Source organism: Homo sapiens, chromosome 3, assembly GCF_000001405.40.
Source record: "Homo sapiens chromosome 3, GRCh38.p14 Primary Assembly".
NCBI lineage: Eukaryota > Metazoa > Chordata > Mammalia > Primates > Hominidae > Homo > Homo sapiens.
In genome coordinates, this window is record NC_000003.12 from 24356291 (window position 1) to 24377420 (window position 21130).

Genomic DNA, 21130 nt, shown 5'->3' on the forward strand with positions numbered 1-21130 from the left:
CTCAAAGGTTCCACCGGACAGTCCTAGACCCAAGACTTTAGTGGAAGGCTGTCTGGCCTGTTGAAACTGAGATGGTGGCCCTGATGATCTCTGAATTGTCTTTGCAGGCTCTTCTCCCCTTTTCTTAAGAATAGTACATGCTCACAGCCAAATAGTTCTATGGTCCAGGCCAGTCAAGTCTAAGAAATCCAACAGGCTTCTTTCATTCTGTCCTGTTTTGTCTGTCTCCTTTAGTTCCAACTGGCAGTGTCTTTGCTAATATGATCCCATTCTATTCCTGGCTTTGCTAAGACCCCACTAGAACTGCCCTTAAAGTCTATAATTCTAGCATACACCTCAAAACTCTTCCAGCCTCTACCCCTTACTCAGTTCCAAAGCCACTTCCATGCTTTCAGGTATTTGTTACAGCAGCACCTCAATTGTTGGTACCAAAAAAGTCACTAGTAGGGCCAAGTCAGACATGATGGTGAAAACCATTTTCTATACACTGGGATTCCTCCCTGGCCATATCAGAGAGGCCCCCTGAATATGCAGAAAAGAAGGAACGTACACAAAGGAACCGAGGCTTTCCTTCTCCCACCCTCCTGTCAGACTCCCTTACACCAAAGATGGTCTCTGATTGCCAGTCATGAGAACTTTCTTCAGGGGAGATGGGTTATAGGAAGGTAAAGACTTAGAATAAATTATTCTTTGGCAATATATACAGACTTAGACTTAAAAATTTTCAGCACCTAGCCATGATTCTCGGTGACCTATGGCCAATAATTTAACTAAAAATGTAAAGGCTCTTATTTATGGTGAGGCACCTGACCTGAAGATTGAAATAAAATGAGGTGGTATCCTTGACTCAGTTTTGTTGGTTTTATGTTTTTTTTTGTCCCCCAAAATGAACACCAATATTTTAGGCTCAAAATCTCAGAGCTTCAAGGGATGTCTAAAGATAATTTCATTCAAATTCCTCTTTTCACAATTGGGAAAAGCAAGGAGTCAAGCAGAAAGGTAAAGTGACTTTCTCAGTCTTAATCTTGTGCCAGGACTGGAATCCTTGTCTCTCCCAAAAAAAAAAAAAAAAAAAAAAAAAAAACAAAAAACAAACAAACAAAAAAACACCAAAAAACTCTTACCATTTGAATAGAAATAAAACATTATGTGGTTAAAAAAATTTAAAAAGTTCAAAAGAGCATATCATGAAAAATGAGTCTCCATAGAGTTTGTGACCCTCATTAAAACCTTATTTATCTTCCCAGAAATGTTCCTGGCATACACATACATATATACCTATGTATTCTTTTTTTCATAGAAGAGTATTCATATTATAATGTTATCTATCTTTCTCATTTTGTTTGGCCCTTAATTTGAACTCTTTTCATATCAATATACTCAAATTTATTGTCCACTTCTGAGGGGGTTACACAGTATTCCGTTGTTCTTATTCCATTTATAATTAAAGCATTCCCCTAGTGACAGACTTTTAGGTTGTACGCTGTTCTTTGAGATTATAAACTACGCTGTACTGGTGGAATGTATGTATTTTAACAATGTGCGTCTTTTCATACACTTCCGTCATTTTGTTTTTCTGAAAACTTTGTCTTTAGCAACCACTCCCCTATCATTCTTTACTTCCTTGCCTTGCATTAGTTTCCCTTGCAGATTTATCACTGCCTGAAATAGTACTTGATTGTTTATTTTTTGTCATTTATGTCTGTTGACTAGAATGGAAGCTCCATGGAATTAGGAACTTCGTTTTATTCACTACTATATCCTTAGCCCAGAGAACAGTGACTGGTTCCTGGTAGATGTTTAATAAATATTTGATGAATAAATTAATAAATGCTTTGCACACTTTACTATTAGATATTGTTTTTCTTACTAATTCATAAGAGTGCTGTATATAGTAATTAAATGAGCCCTTGTCATTTGTGTTACCAATATACTTTCCAGTGTATTTATCTGACTTTGTTGATGGCATTATATTTTTGCCATAAATAAATGTTATATAGCCAAACATAACATAACTGTCCTTTATTTTGTAGCTTTTGGGTTTTGTGTCTTGCTTAGAAAGGCCTTAGGCACTCCAGAGTTATTTTTAAAAACTTGTCTGGTACTTTAATGGTTTGTTTTTATGTTGGAGTCTTTGATTCATTTGGAATTTATTTTGGCATAAGTAGTAGCTGTGTATTCAGCTTTGTTATTTTTCCCAAATAGCCCATTGACCCAACATTAATTAAAGAATAATGCATCCTTTTCTCATTATTCTGAATGTCATCTTTATCATATACCAAATTCTCATAAATATTTACACTATACTTTCCAGTCCCTATTATATTTTGTTCATTTGTCTGCCTACTTCTGTGTTGGTATGAATTTGTTGTAATTCCCCTTGATTTATAGTGTATTTTAACATTTGTGTAAGACTGGGCTCTCCTCTTTGTCTCCTTTACACTGATGTTTTCCTGTCAATTCTCGCATGGTTATTTTTCCATAAGAACATCAGAAACCACTGAACCAGTCAATCCACTGTCAAAACATTCCCTTAATATTTTACTGAGGTCAGATTATAATATAGATTAATTTAGGAATAAATGACATCAATAAAAGAACTTAGCTCTCTTGAGTCCTGAATGTTCTTTATGCTCTCACGACTTCCTTGATATACACAAATAAAATGTAATTTTCCTCAATGGGAAGAATGAATGTGACTCTTATACTAAAACTAAAACAAAACCTTCTGTTCCAGTTATCTATTGCTGTGAAGCAACACCATGCCACCCCAAAATTTAGTGGCTTAAAACAGCAACCACTTTTATCACGTCTGATGATTTTGTGGGTCCAGAATTCAAGCAGGGCTTCGTTGGATGGTTCTTCTGCCTTCACATGGTGTTAATTAAGGATACTCAGTGAAGTTCAGTTGGTGGCTGGGCTGGTATGGAAGTACAAGATGGCTTCACCCACTTGCATGACACCTGGGCAAGGATGACAGGAAGGCTTAGCTGAGCTGGGATTATCTCCCAGAGTTCCCAGATGTGGCCTCTCCAGCATGGCAGCTTCAGGGTAGTTGGAATTTTTAGATGGTGACTGAGGCTCCAAAAGCAGGTGTTCCAGTGAACAGGGAGGAGGCTGCATGGCCTTTAATGGTCTAGCCTCAGAAGTCACTTAGTGTCTCTTCTGCTGTATTCTCTCAGTCAGTGAAGTCACAAGCCTGCCCAAATTCAAGGGGAGGGGATATAGACCTTTATCTCTTGATGAGAGAATGCCAAAGAATTTGTGACCATGTTTAAAAACCACCATTCCTTCTAATAGTAGAAAACTAGACAATTTTCTCATTAGTTTAACAACTCTAGACTTTTCTACAATCTTTTTTCTACTTCCCTCACTTCTGTCACTGGAAACATTGCCATGATTCAAAACTATAAGTATTTTATTTTTAAAAACACATTTTCAGTTGAGTTGTATTCTTTGCCCATGTGCGTGGGGACAGCCATGGCCCTCAGCATGACTTTGGCTTTATCTGTCCATTCTTTCTGCTACCCACTTCTGGCCACTTTACAGCTTGCTGGTGCCTCCACCAGAGGGTGGCAGGAGCAGAGAAAGTGAACTCAAATTTGTCCGTTTAAAAAAACTTGTTATTTGGCAGCAGTTTTGCATAAAGGCAGAAAGCAAATTAAAACTAAAAGTACATATTTTGAAGATTAACTGTGAAACTCAACCACTCATTACAAAGAACACCAGAGCTGGCTATTCTTTCTATTAATCCAAGGCCTTATTTCAAAGACCCCTAAAGATGTGCTCCAGTAATCCCCTTCATGCCTTCCTAGATTATGCCTTTCTTTTCTAAATTCCAGTGATAGTAGCAACATTTATTGATTATCTGCTGTGCCAGGTGCTTTACACATGTTTATTATTGCATTTAACCCTAACAGCACTCCAAGGGTGGGAATTGTTATGCTGATTTTTAAGCCAAGAACACTGCTGCCCATTGAAATTAGCTACTAAGGTTCACAGAGCGAAAATGTAGCAAAGTCTATTCACTACACCCTTGTGTCCAGATGTGTTCAGTAGACCAGCAGCATCAGCATCACCTAGGAGCTTGTTAGAAATGCAGAACCTCAGGTTCATTCCCAGACCTTCTGTAAAAAGCTGCATTTAATACGCAGGCGATGCATATTAACATTAAAGTTTTTGAAGCCCTGCTCTCTATCCTGCTTCTCAAACATTCCTGCACACTGGAATCCCATGGAGAACTGCTTTTTACCGATACATAATTGTTCATGAACAACTTTTTAAAAATGCTAATGCCTGAGCACCTTTTCTTCCTCCCAATTCCAATTTAACTGATCTGGGGTGCAACCTGGGCATCAGAAGTTTTCATAGCTCCCCAGGTAGTTCTATCATGCAGCAAAATTTAAGAACCATTGTTTTATATAGTTCACTTGGTACTAAGCATATTCTATATCCGGTATAGTTGTTTATCATTTTTATACACATCATATGTCCCCAACATGAATATATTTTATATATCAGCTCTCTTTACAGAGTGGCGGTTTCTTGCACAAAATATGCACTCACTAAACATTTGCTGCTATTGCTGTTGTTGAAAATGGTGCTTAATTGGTCTGTGGTGGGGCTCGAACATCAGTATTTTTGAAAAACCACCTCACGTGATTCTATTATGCAGCCAAGGTTGAAAACCACTGGGTTGGCTCCTACAGCTCCAGCTGATGGTTGCTATGGAGAAATTTGGGCAGAGGAATGCTAAGTGTCCTGATTTTTGAAGAAGATCCTTAAAACCCAGATTTTTATAATAACTGTTGACAACAAATTCAGGTTTTTGAAAAAACTGTGTGAACAAAATAAACCACATCTGCTGGTCATGTGTGCCTGCACATGCATGAGCATACACTTGTAAAGGGATATGGGATACTCAATATATTTATGGTTATGCACTTGGAAATTCATAACTCTAAGTCTGAATTATTATAAATGCCACCACTACTGCTGCTTTGGAAAAACACACCATCATCATTGCATAACCATCTAGCTTAAAAAAGAGTCACCATATTGTTTCTGTCGATATACATAATACACAGCCCAAAATAGAGATTGTGAAGTCTTGGAGAATGAATAATCTGTGCCTCATTTTGTTCTATGCAATGCCTAAATATGCCAACAGAACAAGAGGATGTGTCCCAAAAAGAGGGGGCAGGAGGCATTTGGAAATTCTGGGAAGAAAGATAGTCTATAAGAGCAGGGTACTATTGTTATGAATTCTACCCACTGCCTGAGCACCACTCAGTGATTAAGGAAAACCAAAGAAAGGAGACCCAAGAAGAAAAACTAGAACAAGAAATAAAGGTATGAAAGAGAAATATGGCCAGAAGAAATTTTCCCATCTGGTTTCTTCACCACTAGTGGCTCCTTATGTATGGATTTGTTTGCCAGAGCTAATAAACAGTGAGGGTCTCTAATGATGTGAAGCTGGGTGGTAAAGGCACTGGGGGCTTACGTCATGCAGCCAATGATGTGTTGAGTGAAATATACCACATGTTGAATTTGCTGGCATCAGCACCTTCTGCCGATTTAACTTATGGGCAGATGATAGCAGGCCCAACACCCAATACTACTTGCCCATATCCTTGCTTTCATTTCATAAAGCAAGAATAAAAGAGAGTCAGTATCAATATCAAAATAAATACCACTAGTAATATTGATGATGTTACTTTTACCACCAATAATAATAGCAGTTATCAATTACCGAATGCTTACAATGGGCCAAGCACTGTGCTAAACACCTTACGTATTATATCTCATTTATTCTCAAAACAATAGCCACACTGATTCTTTTAAAAGAGATGTCAGATCTTGCTTTCACCTCCTCAAAACCCTTCAGTGGCTCCCATTTTACTGAGTGCCACAGGCGAAGTCCCTTTCACAGTCTGCAAAGCTGTATGTCTACCAACTATCCACCCCCTTCCCTACTCATTATCTCTCTGACTCCACCTCCTACTCCTCTTCCCCTCTCTTAATCCATTCCATCTGGCCTAATGAACCTTCTATTTCTCCAACATGAAGCCTCTGCACTAGCTGCCCCCTTCATAAGAGATGCTCTTCCCCTAGATATGCACAAGCATCATTCCTGTCACCTTCTCAGTGAGGGTTTCTCATACCAAGCTGTTTAAAATTGCATTTCCCCATTCCTACATTCCCCTTCTTCTTTTTTCTCTCCATAGCACTTATCACCTTCTAATATCCAACACTGTACTTATTGATTTTTTAAATGGACTCTCATCCACTGGACTGTAAGCTTCATGAAGGCAGAGATTTTATTCTGTTTTGTTGATTATAGTGTCTCCAGTGCCTAAGGCAAGGCCAGGCACTTATCTGGCACTTGATAAACATTTTTAGAATGAATAAATTAATGAATTTAATCCTCACAACAACCATAAGAGATAGGTGCTATAATTATCCTGCTTTAACAAGTATTGGGTATGAAGTTTAGAGACATTATATTTGCCCAAGATCACAAATGAGAAATTGTTAGAGGGATGTAAGCCAAGGACATCAAGACATGTATAATAACATTTGTGACCTGCCTTGTTATTTTAACACTTCGGGCCTTACTTAGAAAATGATACATGTGACAACTGGAATCTAGAAGTGGACCTATATTGGGTGCAGCTGGGACTAGGACAATTACTGGGAGCTGATGGGAAAATGAAGGGAAAACTCCAAAATTGACTATTTTTATTTCCTGTGGTTAGGGTAATTCTTAATTTTTAGAGCAGTTGATACCATTTTTTGGATGATCATTTGTAGAGGAGATGGATCTTCTGAAGTATTATGATCATGGGAAATAAATCAAGGCTTAGCAAACTGTATTTCCTTGGGGGTAAATAAGTCAAAGGCCAATTTAGATCTTAAATCGCCTAAGACATTTCATCCAATGAGAGCCAACTGCAGGAATTTAAGAGTCCAAAGACACTGTAGGAAATTACCACTGCAAACATGTCCCCAGGACTCTTAAAGGCTTCTGCAGAAAGCTCATTAACTCTGTTTTTAATGTTTCAAATACTCTCTCATCCAAGAATAAATCAGATAGAATTCAACTCATGCCAAACACAGGGTGCCTGAGCTAGCTAATTGTGCCTAAAGCCTCAGGGGAACTTGGTAAATATTAAGCAATCCACTGGAGCTGGAGCTTTCAGTGGGTCAAAGTGCTTAGTCCACAACACATTCATTTGTATGGTGTTTGGCTAAACCAAAACGTGAAGCTCAAGGGATAGAAGATTAAAATATTTTCTCTAGATCAAAAAAAATTTTTCAAACACTTTTTGAAGGTTGTCTGAAGAAAAGATATATAAGCAGGAAACATCTTTTGGCAACTCTGTGATGAGTTTGACAGACAAGAGTTTCTTATGTCCTTCATACAATTTAAAGACAAGAAATATACTAGTGACTTGACATTTTAAGCTCATTAATTTCAAGTAATACACTTCATAATTTCCAAAAAAAAGTCATGTCTGTGTATTCGGCTCGTGGCAAAATCTAAAATTCTATGCTTGGAACAAAGAAATTAGAAAAATGTGGCAGTATTCTTTCTCTAATATACATAAAAACACTTAAACAGTTTGTGATTATTTTCCATTTCTTATATGAGTCCCAAATTATGCACTTTATTACTAAGGATGGATGGAGTCTGAGAAGTAATACAAGGTTCAATCCACATATCCAAAATGACTGTCTTGAACTGCAAACATTAGAATTCTACCTAAGTCTTAATGAAACAAAGTACATACTGGGTTCAGTTATAAAGGCCTTGCCACTCTTAATATAAATGTTTATTCATTTAAGGCTACACGGCAAACCAATATGGAAAAGCATATGGTGGTAAAAAATGAACCAGGAGATAGGGGGTAGCTTTGGAAATGGCATCAGAGGAGCATGAGCAAAATGTAAACAGAGATCAGCTATAATCAAGAGTTCTTATCAGTATCCTCAGTCATTTGATATATTAATGGAATGATAACTTGATTATGCCAACCTGAGTGAAGTCATGCAGTGGTTGAAGTATGGAAGAAAATCACATTTTCTAAATGTCTACTATATGTCAGGCACTTTATATTTTTAGTAATAATAGCTAATAGTAAGGATCTATAATATAAAAATAACTTTCCACAAATGAATTCCAATTCTTACAGTAAAACTATGAAGTAGGTGTTGTCATCCCCATTTTACAGATGAGAAAACTGAGATCTGAAAAGATTGAATAACTTGTTCTGTGTCACGTAGGTAGTAAACAAATCAGAATTCAAACTTCATTCTAATTCCAAAGCCCAAAATCTTTCTGCTTCATCATCCATGTACAAACAAGACATAATAATTTGGTGTGATTTACACTGTTCTCTAGGGAAAGGGCTCTTGGGGGTACTCATGTGAAAAATTACAGGGATAAAAATAAACAAATAAAAGAAAGCAGCCTCTACAGGTAACGTTTTTCGGACAAACAACTGAGAACAATAGGTTTTGAAAACTTCTCCTAATGAGGATATTTTAAATGTTAGAAAACTTAGTTTTGCTTTAGAGAAATACCAAAAATCAAATTACATAATTTTCAATAAGATTTTAGCTCATAGACATGTACATATCTATGTGTAAATACCTAGCTTTTTCATATCAGAATGCCCATTTTCAAAAATCTTATGCACTTATATGTTACTTCCAAATATATACAGAATATGCCAGAAGTGGATTTTGTATACCTTGTATATTACAGGTAAACTGCTTAATTCAAAAACATATTTCTAAACCCTGTGTTTATAAGAAAAATCATTTACCTGCCACATGTATTATTAGCCTGGTCATTTCTTATCCAGGAACATAATTTCCTGCCTTATTCACCAACAGTTACTTGAAAGAGTACACTAATCCAGCAAAGAGTCACTGCATCAAGTTTACCCCCCTACCAACTTGCAAAAGCTTGGGAGTGTGCAGGAACAGGCAGAGGGCAGAACAGGCACTCCCTCTGCCCATGTTTGCAAGCTGACAGACTGCAGGGAGGAAATGATTCATGCCACAGAATCTCCAGCCAACTTCGTGTCACTGGACTTTATAAAAACAAATAAACTAAAGCTTTTCAACAGACTGGAACTGCTTAAACAACTTTAGTAACATGGCTGCTTTATAAGGTCCCCGGGCAGTTCAATCTTTAGAAACTTGGGCCATAGATAAGATACTTTGTAAAGAGCAAATCCATTACCAGCTTATTATTGTAAACTGGATTGTCACTTTGGGAATCACAAAGAAATATGATAACTGCAAACAGCAGCAGTCAATTGCCATATGGATAATCTTTATCAGCTGGAAAAAATTAATTTGATTTTCTTAGAAACCTTAATTTTATTTTTAAGAGTTTGAACTTTAAAAGTTTGAAAACTGCATGGTACAATTACTTTATGGAAGTCTCATCAAACAGTATACCTTATAATTCTTATGCCTTATATTTCCTTCCCTATTGACTACTTATTTTATAATGGCTTCTAGAAGCTCATGAGGAATACTAATTCATTTAGAGTTTCTATTTCTCCCACCAATAATTTCAATCTATTGTCAAAGCAATGTAAAAGAAAATTCAAGTAACTTCTATCACATTTGGAAAACTTAAGAGGAGGAAATAAGATATTCTAATCGGGCGTATTTTGACTTCAACTAAATTTATTGGCTAAAATCCTGTGCATTTTGAAGGTCAGAATTGTTTACTTGGCTATGTCCAATATTAACCAGTTAGGTTAGGTACATATTATTTGCATATTGAAATGCATTATTACCTTTTCCAAATTAAAAAGCAAATTATGTCTGACAATACTACCCTACCCAGTTCCAGTTTTTGGCAGTAGAGTATACACATATGTCTATGGTACTTATAGCTATCAACCATCGTTGAATCAGACACTATTCCTATATAACAAGCATTCTCTACTTATACTAATTGTAGCCATCTTGCCTTCTGGGAACATGGAGAGAATTGCCAATCTTAGACTAGAAAGGGGTGAATCCTAGCCAGAAGTCCTCTTCTACTTCATCGTTACCCCCATGCTTCCAGGCAGTCATGACCAGGTGGTAGCGATGGCGGGAGTGAGGGACCAAGGCCTAACGGCTGCTGATTGCTCTCTTCACTCATGTCTTTGCCCATCAACCTATCAGTCTCTCTACTTCCTGGAAGCACGTGTACTCTGATCATTTTAAGGATCCGGAAGTCAAGTTATCTGAACTGCTATTCATCAGGTTTTCTGATTTCAAATCCATTTTTTTTCTGTGACTATAGCACAGCCTCTCACTTTTTTTTTTTTTTTTTTGAGAAGGAGTCTCTCTCTGTCACCAGGCTGGAGTACAGTGGCACCATCTCGGCTCACTGCAGCCTCAGCCTCCCGGGTTCAAGCAATTCTCCTGCCTCAGCCTCCCGAGAAGCTGGGATTACAGGCACATGCCACCACACCAGGTTAATTTTTGTATTTTTAGTAGAGATGAAGTTTCACCATGTTGGCTAGGATGGTCTTGATCTCCTGACCTTTTGATCCACCCACCCACTTCGGCCTCCCAAAGTGCTGAGATTACAGGTGTGAGCCACCACACCATTCCTAGAAGTCAAGTTATTTGTACTGCTGTTCATCAGGTTTTCTGATTTCAAATCAATTTTTTTTTCTGTGACTGTACCACAGCCTCTCACTTTCAAATAATGCTAATCAACATTTGAAAAACTAATGACACATTCATAATTCCTTCAACAAATGTGTGCTAAACACTAGCTGGATGGCAGGGACTGATCTGGTATACAAATGGTCAGAGTTACTACCTTCAAAGAACTTTCAGCATAGGCTGGAAGCAGGACGTGGAGATGTTTCACAGCAATTAGAAGTAGGGACAGAGGTCAACGAATACACTGAAGAGGGATTGAGCATTTGTACATGGCAAGAGATCGGGGAAGCCTTCAAAGTCAGACTGGTGGTTAAACATTCAGTCAATTTAGAGTAAGGGATGGTAAAAACCCTTTTATGTATCAAACCTCTTTGGTTTAGAAATTACAGACAGGGTAGCAAACCCTGTGGTCTTTATCAACCACACTGGGATTAGCAGCGACATGAAATAACAATTCCTTAGGCTTATTTCCTCAATGGATACATACCAACATTCAGGCTTGATATACTGGGTTACTGCACAGTCTAGTAAGCTAGCCTTTGGGTTCTGGGCTCAGTTTGACCAGGTTCAAGTCCTTCTATGCCATCTAGAACTGATAGTAGAAAAGTTGCTTGAGTTCCTGTTTTCAAAAATGGAAATTTTCAAAGCATGTTACATGCACTGTTGTAACATGCTTTGTTGCTACATGCACTGTTGTAACATGCTTTGAAAATTTCCTTTCTTGTCAGTTAGGCTGGATACTCTAAGGCACTTCTCACAGCAATACAAGTAGATTACAACAAGAAATGTTTACAGTACTGCCGGGCTTGCAGGACATCTCTAAAGGGTACACTGAACTAAAACACAAAGAGTAAGTGGTGAGAAATGCATAAACTGTGATTGCCATGGGGACAAATGTTGAACTAACATTGTGATGAGAAGCCTAAGCCTGGGGCTCAATACAAGGAGGGAGAGATAAACACAAGATTTACTTTAAGCCCAAATCCTTAAAGGGACTAGAATAGCTCCCAGGTTAGCACAAAAACAGTTGGAGAGCCAGAGTTGGTCTATGGGTCATAGTTCACTAATCCCACATACAAGATAACAATGCTACTTAACATATGTAATTATTTTATGATTTATAAACTCTTTCCCCTTATCTTATCCAATTTAATCCTTATACAACTCCTGTAAGGTAACTAAAAGAATTATATTCTGCCCTTGGTATGCCACTGCCCTGACATCTTTATTTTGAAAAAAAATACACGGATGACTTTTCTGTCTGGCATACTCTATTACTTCACAGCACCCTGGGGTCCTCTTTGTGCCCCCTGACTTTACTGCGGTATTGTGACAAGATGACCATGGCAGGATGTGTGTACAGTGTGCACAAGAGTGTGCACAAATGAACAGGAGGAGAAGATTCTTCTTTATCCTGTCTAATACAATGTACCATTAATAAGACATTAGTCTACCACTAATAAGACATAAGGCACTAGAAAATTAATGTTAGATACAAAGCAAAGAAGACTAGACACGAAGCTAAAACTTCATAGAAAGAGGAGATGGAAAGGTTGAAGAAATGTTGAAAATGCTCTTTTGGGTGCGACAACTAGCATCAGTTGAAATAACCGCAGAATAAAATGGTCTGTTTTTGCCTAGTTATGTTGCATTTCCTTTCCTCTAAGTACGTGTGTCCTTTACCACAGAAGCCAATGAAGGCCATGAATCAACACACTGCTGATGCTTACCTTGATGATTCTATTTCCCTGGCAATAGCCAGAAAGAATAGGAAATTTATGTACACCAAAACTTCCAATGTCCAAGCACTTCCTCTTCCCACTTTGAATATGTTATAATGATGTCATCCATCTAGGCAAGATTTACTCAGCATTGTAGACCAGGACCAGAGCTCAGAAATTTTCTCATTAAACCCTTGCATTTAAGTGGAGTCTATGAAGGTTCGGAGGGGAGAGATCAGGTTATAAACAGTGATCATATATTACTTGTTGCACAGATGAGTTGTAAATATGTAGAAATTACTTTCAACTCACTGTAATTCTTTTAAAATTATTTATTATTTAATTTTTTTGAGATGAGGTCTCACTATGTTGCCCAGGCTGGTCTCAAACTCCTGGCCTCAAGCAATCCTCCCTCCTCAGCCTCCTGAGAACTCACCATAATTCTATAAAGACATCTTATATGTTTGCATTGGAAGACATAAATAAATGCCAATGCTGGAAAGAGAAGTAAAAAGGTGGAGACAGAGGGGGAAACTAACATCATATCTACTATATGAAACATATGGCACACACTTTTCATGCTACGTTGAATTCAGTTATCACAACTCTGCTGGGAGGTTTGACTCTCGTTTTGCAAAACAGAAAATTAAGATTTAACAACACATCCCAGGCTCTCAGCTTGTGAGTTGCAGAGCTGAGGTTTGAACTCATGTCTATATTGACTGTAAAGCATGTATTATTGCACACATTGCCTTCACAACAAGGAATTCTACATTTTGGGAATGATTATAGAAAGAAAACATGAGTAGAAAATAATATAAACAACTTAAATTGTAAGACGGCATACGATAGAAGTCTATCCATTGGTCTAAATATCACACTGCAGCAGTATTTTACCCCTATGCTGGGCTATTTTTTAACACTCCTCTCCTCTCTTGAACAAAACTTTTTCAACAACAATCAAAAACATTTCACCACCAGTGCACACTCTGTTTCACTGTTCCAAATTTAAAACACAAATGAATATTCTAGGTTGTCACACAGTATGACAAAACTGAAACAACTGAAGATGTATTTCTTTGACTGCACAATCATTGGCTATAATCATTTATTTTGAATCTATTTAAATGCCCAATACCTAGTAGCCCAAGGGTTAAAGACACAACCTGTACCAAAAGTACTGAACATCATTCCAAAGTTTTAGGAACTAACTCTGGAAACTAATGTGTGGAGCCAAATCCCATGTTTTAGAGCTGACTACATAACTAGGAGTCCTCCAAATTGACTTTCATGTAAATTTGTGTTTATTAAAAGATAAGTATTAAAAGATGCTAGTTTGGAGATGAAATATATGTTACTAAAACTCAACAGTAACTGCAGCAGTTGTTTAGAACTTAAATCAACACAACACATTTTTTAGGGGGATATTTTACGACTGAGACTGCTTAGAACGGGGCATTATAATAATAAAAAGTCAGCTGACATTTTTGTCCATTTTATCATTGTTGTAAAATTATTTTCAGATAACTTGTCCCCTTTATTGTCTGCAGTGCCTTGGACAGACCATTCTCACCATCCTGCCCATGGTATGTCACTGCCCTGAAATCTTTATTTTGAAAAAAATACGTGGATGGCTTTTCTTTCTGGCATACTCCCTTACTTCATAGCACCGTGGGGTCCCCTTTGTGCCCCTCTGTCACTGGCTTTACTGTGGTATTGTGTCAAGATGATCATGGCAGGACGTGTGTGAGGTGTGCACATGAGTGTGTATGAGGTGTGCACATGAGTGTGCACAAAGAAGCAAGAGGAGAATGTTCCTCAGTATCAAATACAGCACTCCAAGGAGATAATCATCTATGGAGTGACTTCCTGGGAGGATCAATGCTCCACTATTTCAGAACATTCTCTAGTAGTGACCCTCACTAGTCTGGGGACAGTCTTCTAAACCAAAATGGATAATGATAGGGAATGCTGGGGGATCACACCAGGCACAATGCCACACTTCGGGCACTATATCACTACTCACTTATCAATGCTGGCTTTACTTCTGACAAATTCAGATGGGCACAAGGGCTCCCCAAGCTAGGAGACTGTTTGATTTTAGCTTTGGCTACTCTGGCTCCAGCTTCACTACAATGGCATTGCTGGTCAAGATCCCAACTGAAGTCGTCATTTGAATTTAGGCCAAATCACCCTTTGACTCATTCTTTAAAGAGGTTAATAGCCTAACATTAATTAAGCTCTGTTTGCAGGTAATTTTCAAAAGAGCTGTAGAAAAGGGAAACTATTATTTACCCCATTTTATGGATGAAGAAACAGAGGTTTGAGGAGAATAAGAAACTTGCACCAAGTCAGGAAACCAGCAGGCAACAGAGCTGGATCTCCAAGACAGTTCTGATTCCTAAATCCATTCTCTTAACCTGTATAGTATATTTCTGAGCAATAGAGTGGTTAGAACACCTATCTACATTAGGCAGACATCCAAACTGACAAACTTAGCTTAAGATTAAAGCACTCCTCCCAAAAAGGTATAGGTTTGTCCTTTGCAATACTTATGAAGATATTTTTACCCAAGAATTCTAGAACCTAGGTAACATCATCCAGAGCATAGGTCCACATAAAAGAGAAAGGTTATAATTGAAAATACAACTATTAAACATAACATTATGTTTCAGACATGATTCCTACCATGTCTTCAGGTAAAGAATATCACATTCCTTGAAGTATACTTGATGGAGATTTTATGTATTATCTTATTAATAATAATAATTTACCTGTAAACCATATTATTTGGGAAGTTTCCTTTAGATTTCATCTAAAAGCCTCTGTAGAAATGCCGGCAGTGTCAGAATTACTCATGGTTACCGTTCCACCCACATCCTAGTGTGGATGAGTGTTGGCCATAATGTCAAAGACTGTCTAGCTTCTAGCCCCTTCACTAAGGAGAAATGCAGTTTCAGCTCCTCATGTGTGTTGTCATAGAATACTAGCAGAAGCATCTCCAGGGCTGGAAGCAGGACACTTTGGAAGCTGGTGCTCAATGTATTGCTACATTCAGTGGTCCCAACCCTTGGAGGCGTTGAAGGCATTTTCTTATATTAGTCTATAGTTCCATTTTAAAGAATGGTTCTAAATATGTTTCAAGGTAGTTCAACCTACATTTGATATTTATGATTCTTCAAAAGTATATACAATTTTGTGTTTATAAGACGTGAGTGGCACTTATTCTGTTTCTTGAGGGAAAACAGGGTCAGTTCATGCTTGCTCCTCTTGTTCTTTCTCTATGCCCCCAATAACACCGGAAATCATAATGCTGCCACTTCCAGTGGCATCTGTTTTGCTTTGGTACCTTCACACATATTTGGACTTCCATGACAAATCTGTGAGACAGATGGAGCAGGTATTGTCTTCCATATTTAATACATGAGAACACTGAGGCTTAAAATATTTAGGAGTAGGAGTACTGGGTGTATAATTCAAATCATTCTACAATGGTGTGCTCCCCCTCCCAAAACCCCAATTTATAGTATTTGCTGATTTTCAGGTGATAGTAATTCTACCACAGCTAATTTCAAGCTACCAACATGATGTTACCACATGCAGAGTTAGGATGAGATGTACAAAACTGGCTCTCTTATCCTTCGACCCCTACCCCAGTGTTCTTTATATGCCATGAAATTAAGTATTTATGATGTTAATTTAAACACATATCTATCACCATGTCCTGGAGAGGATGCCTTACGTGTATAAGCATGCACAATATGGAGTTCCCTTATAAGAAAATCAGTCAGAGACATTTCTTCTGCATCCATTGACATGCTCAAGTTTTGATCATCCTACTCTGGTTACAATCAAGTGTACTAGAGAAGGTGGCCCTGAAGTAATCCAGGGCTGTTCCTTTACATAGGGATGAGTCGGAGATCAACAGCTCATTTCAGTCAATCCCATTCACATAATATCTTCTAGCCAAAGGTCTCCAGGTTTTTCCATGCTTCTCTAACCATCCCCATTTTACAGACAGGAGAGTCCAATGTCTCAGGAAATTAAATGACATGCTCAATGTCACACAGTACATAGAGCTGGAGTCAAGACTGGAATGCTTCCCTACTGCACCAGGATGCTTAGTCTATCACCATAAAAAACAAAGACTTCTGAAAAATGTGGCAGAGTTCAGAACACCTATGAGAAGCAATATAGAATATCAAAAGAGAGAATGTTGTGGGCCAACAGACATTCCACAAAGCCTGTTTTTGTCGTGGTTTTTAGACTATGCTCCATGGAGCCTCAAGGGGCCGAGGGGCCTAGCAACATAGAAAGAGATCAGCCTAAGTGGGCAAGACTCTGGAGTCCCCCAGCAAATGTGAATTAAAACCCTTTGTATTCCACTGTTTTACATACTGGGAGTCAGATTAAGATTTCATTTGGAAAGAGGGTTCTACAACTTAAAAAAAAAGTTAGAAAACCCCAACAAAGACCAAAGTCTAGATTGTTAATTTTCAAACAAAGCTCTTTGGTGAGAGTTACTGGCTCTCATAAACTGAAGGAGCCTCTGGCTGCTCTTTTCTCACGATCTGGAGAGATAATGTATGTGCAAACACACTGAAAATAAAGAACGTGTATGCAAACTGAAGTCAACGCAGGCCCTTTAACCCCAGTCTGATCCTTTCTGAAAGGCACTGGGTATTTCAGTACCATGTAGATTTTTCTATCATATGACTTCCCAAACATGCAGACACTCCAGGTCCTCAGCTGACATCTTGGAGGCCAGCCATGACTTCTGGCTGCCTGAACAAGTTCACAAAGGTAACTACTCTTCCCACACTTGCTGGCATGACACTATCATAGGCCACACAGACCTCGATGAGCCCTCTATGAAAATAGATGAAGCGGCTGGGAATAACAATAAGCACCAGGTTTTCAGACCTACAAATATGCAGCCACTTCATACTGCATTCCACATGAAAGGCTGAAAAAACTGTTAAAGCCAACTAAATATGGCCTGAGAAGGATTCCGTACTTCTATACTTGAGTCCTTGTGGATGAACTGTAACCTAGCTTAATAGTCAGATTGAAAACCTAACTTAGGAGTATGAGCCTGTAACAATCGCTAAGTCTTGGCCAATACCAGTGGCCATACTGCAACCATTCATACACTGCTGAGTGTTCAAACTGTGTTCAAATAAGGCAAACGCTAAGCTATCACCAATCCAGCCATTCTGTACCTCGCTTCCAATTTCTGTACATCATTTCCCTTTTTTTTTGGTTTATAAATCTTCTTTCACTACATGGCTGTGCTGGAGTCTCTGTGAATCTGGTGTGATTCTGGGGGCTGCCCAATTCACGAATCGTCCATTGCTGAATTAAACTCCATTAAATTTAATTCAGCTGATATTTTTCTTTCATCAAAACAAAGAAAAATGTCTTAAGTAGCCAAAATAATTCAATTATTTTCAGTAGAAAAGAGACGTACAGGGAATGTACTGAGCCAAGTGGTGTAGATTTAGTTTGTACTATGCTATATTAATGTAGGCTCCACTCAGAACCAATATTAAGTACTAAATATTGTCAGAGACAACATTATAAGCATATAAAGACAGACTTATACTCAAGAACATATTTTTAGACAAATATTCATCCTGAAGCTACAATGCAAAAATACATAGGAAGAGAATACATATATATTGTCTATTACTGTTATGGTTTAAAGTATTTAAATGTTTGTATTTATGTATAAAACATTTAGCTATATGTTTGCTTATGTACGTGTATTTACAATGTTGTTTTAAAGACGACTAAAATGTTACATAACTTCTTGTTAACATAAATAGACTTCAGGGCTGATACTATTATTTAAAATGCAATTAAATATCTTTAAAATATTCAAACCATATAAAATGACTATGAATTAAAGCATTTGTGGAATCAAGGTTGGAAAACTAATATCTATTAGGATAAGGATTATTAAATATTTTGCATTTTTCTAGATTTTGATGAAGATATAAAGTGAGGCTAAAATTTAGTTTTGGGCTTATCAAGGCCTCCCCATTTCACTGTCTTTTAAGATGATGTGTACTAAGAGAAAATGCTTGAATCATGTTGGTTGCTAATAAATGCAACACATTGAGAATAGCTGTTAGTGCCTTACTGAAAAATCCTTACTAAAAAATGCAGGCAGAGATGGAAAATATTCCTCTCTATTACTCTCAAAGCTTAAATTTCACCATACTTACCAGGCATGTAAAAAGTTAATCTTTAGCAAAGCAAATGTGCTTAAAATAGTCTATTGTTCTCAACAAGTTATAAACCTGGATTATAAAACTGTTAAACACTAGAGACACAAAACTCAAATACACTAATTCTTTGGCACAGTTTTTTTTCATTCTGTTACTTTCCTTTTATAAAAGCTCAGGTTTTATGACTGACGATTTAAAAAAAGAGAGAGAGAAATGGAATGCAAACTTCTATACAGAAAGCCAAGTGCTAAGAGCCATGTTTTAAAGCAGCATACACTATCTTTTAAATTACAGTTTTGGATTTGGCTGCTTTGTTGTAACAAAACACTTCATGTTCAAACATTTTATTAATATAATGTTTAGAAATATAATATTAATATATTATATTTAGACATATATTATTATATTTAGACATATAATATTAATATATTATATTTAGACATATAATATTAATATATTATAGTTAGACATATAATATTAATATATTATAGTTAGACATATAATATTAATATATTATAGTTAGACATATAATATTAATATATTATAGTTAGACATATAATATTAATATATTATAGTTAGACATATAATATTAATATATTAGTTAGACATATAATATTAATAAATATTACTAATTATATTGATATACAGAATAAAAGAAAAACTAACTCAAGGAATATGCTAAAATGTCCTTTAAAGCTAAATTTTCTTAGACCCCCCCAGACTACTACTGATAGAAAATAACAAGAGTGGAATATATTCTCAACATCATCACAGCCCTGAAAAGTTGCTATTTTTACCTCACTTTACAGACAGGCAACCTCAAGCCCAGGGACATTGAGGTCTGCTGGAATTTGATTTTCTTTTCTTTTCTTTTCTTTTTTGAATCCAGATCTTCTGATCCCAAGTCTTTTTCTTTTCCTACTTCTACAAAATTGTTTCAACAGATGACCATATCCCAATTTAAAAGAAAATAAGGAGATAATTTACAGAAATATAGACAAATTAGGAAAGGATTGAATTATTCATTTCTCACAAAGGATTTACCCCCAGATTAAGTTATCAGCTCCTATAACTCCTCTAGAGGCCAAAACTTGTCCTCAGTATTTGAGAAAACTTTCTGTAAATATGAAGTAGCTTTGTAGATAGAGCCAAGCTTGGCGAGTGATCAAATTTATGTGTGCTTCAGTTGCAGTATATTGAAAAAAAAGGTTTTAAGTGTGTCTATAATGGAGAAAGGGACGTAAACAACTATAAACATGGACACAAATATTTGAAGCCACAATTTTAGGCACTAGACAACAGTCCACGGCTGTGATCCTTGAGAGGAGGAAGACACAGGAGATAAGCTTTATGTTTACCTTGGCTTTTTGCCTTGGGGCACTTTTCAAATTGCAACCTGGGGAAGTGGAACCCAGAGAGCAGCTGGGTGAAGAAAACTGAGACCTGATTTTTGGGTGGCAGATATGGTAGGAATTTGTGGAGCAAAGTATTAGAGAGGAAGCTGCACAAGAAAAGAACTCTAGAAACATGTATAGGGGGTTTCTTGAGCCTTTAGACAAATATTAAGAAAATCATATGTGAGACCTACCCCAAACAGCTATTCTGTGAGCAGAAAAGGGTGTTTGAGGGCTACAAAAGGTCAGATGTTGGAGTTCCAACCAGCCAAGGAAAAGAGACGTTGCTGAACACTCTCAAGATTCAGCTGAGACTCCAAAAAAAGGCAATGCCTTAGAAGGACTACTCTAATCCTAAAATAAAGATCACTCTAGATTTGCCCTAAGAGAATCTAAAACCAGGCCTCCACTATTTCCAGCTGATCTGCCAGAAAATTAAATGCCTGCCAGAACAAAACTCATTACTCTTTAAAGGAAGACAATGACATCTAAAGTTTTAACATTGTTACACTACAGTGTCCACCATAAAATAAAAAATTACTACATATGTGATCTGGCTGACATCTAAAGTGAATAGCTGCTGTTTCTGCCTGCCCAAAATATCTGTCTCATACTTTTTTTTCTTTTTGAGACAGGGTCTCACTCTGTCACTTAGGCTACAGTGCAGTGGCATGATGGCGGCTCACTGTAGCTTTGGCCTCCTAGACTCAAGCAATCCTCTCCCCTCAGCCTCCCAGGTAGCTGGGACCATAGGTGTACACCACCACACTTTGCTAATTTATTTTTTATTTTAATTTTTGTAGAGATGGGTCTTACTTTGTTGCCCAGGCTGGTTTTGATCTCCTGGGCTCAAGTGATCCTCCTGCCTCGGCCTCCCTGTCTCCTACTTTTAAGAACACAAATTCATAGCAAGAGAATCTTTCTGTCCCCCAGGGAGCACATTCCATTTGGTTCAGCCAGGGCCCATTCTTACTAGTGGCCAAGTGACCAAAGGAAATAGGATGTCCTATTTCTTGGACACAGGGAGGGGCACATGACCCAAGTTGGGCCAGTGACTGTCCTCTTTGGCATAGGTCTATAAAAATGTTGTCAT

At 37.4% G+C, this 21130-nt stretch overlaps 1 protein-coding gene across 53 annotated transcripts in view, besides 1 other annotated feature; it reads right to left on the reverse strand.

Annotated features, from left to right (window-relative positions):
- THRB (thyroid hormone receptor beta) overlaps positions 1-21130 on the reverse strand; it is a 378556-nt gene that overhangs the window by 239138 nt on the left and 118288 nt on the right. The window lies entirely within an intron of this gene.
- Positions 3611-4243: an enhancer, noted in NCBI's record as "OCT4-NANOG hESC enhancer chr3:24401392-24402024 (GRCh37/hg19 assembly coordinates)". NCBI's record gives its function as "activates a minimal SCP1, AML or CMV promoter by ChIP-STARR-seq in primed H9 embryonic stem cells {active_cell/tissue: H9 hESC(primed)}" and the evidence as "EXISTENCE:reporter gene assay evidence [ECO:0000049][PMID:30033119]".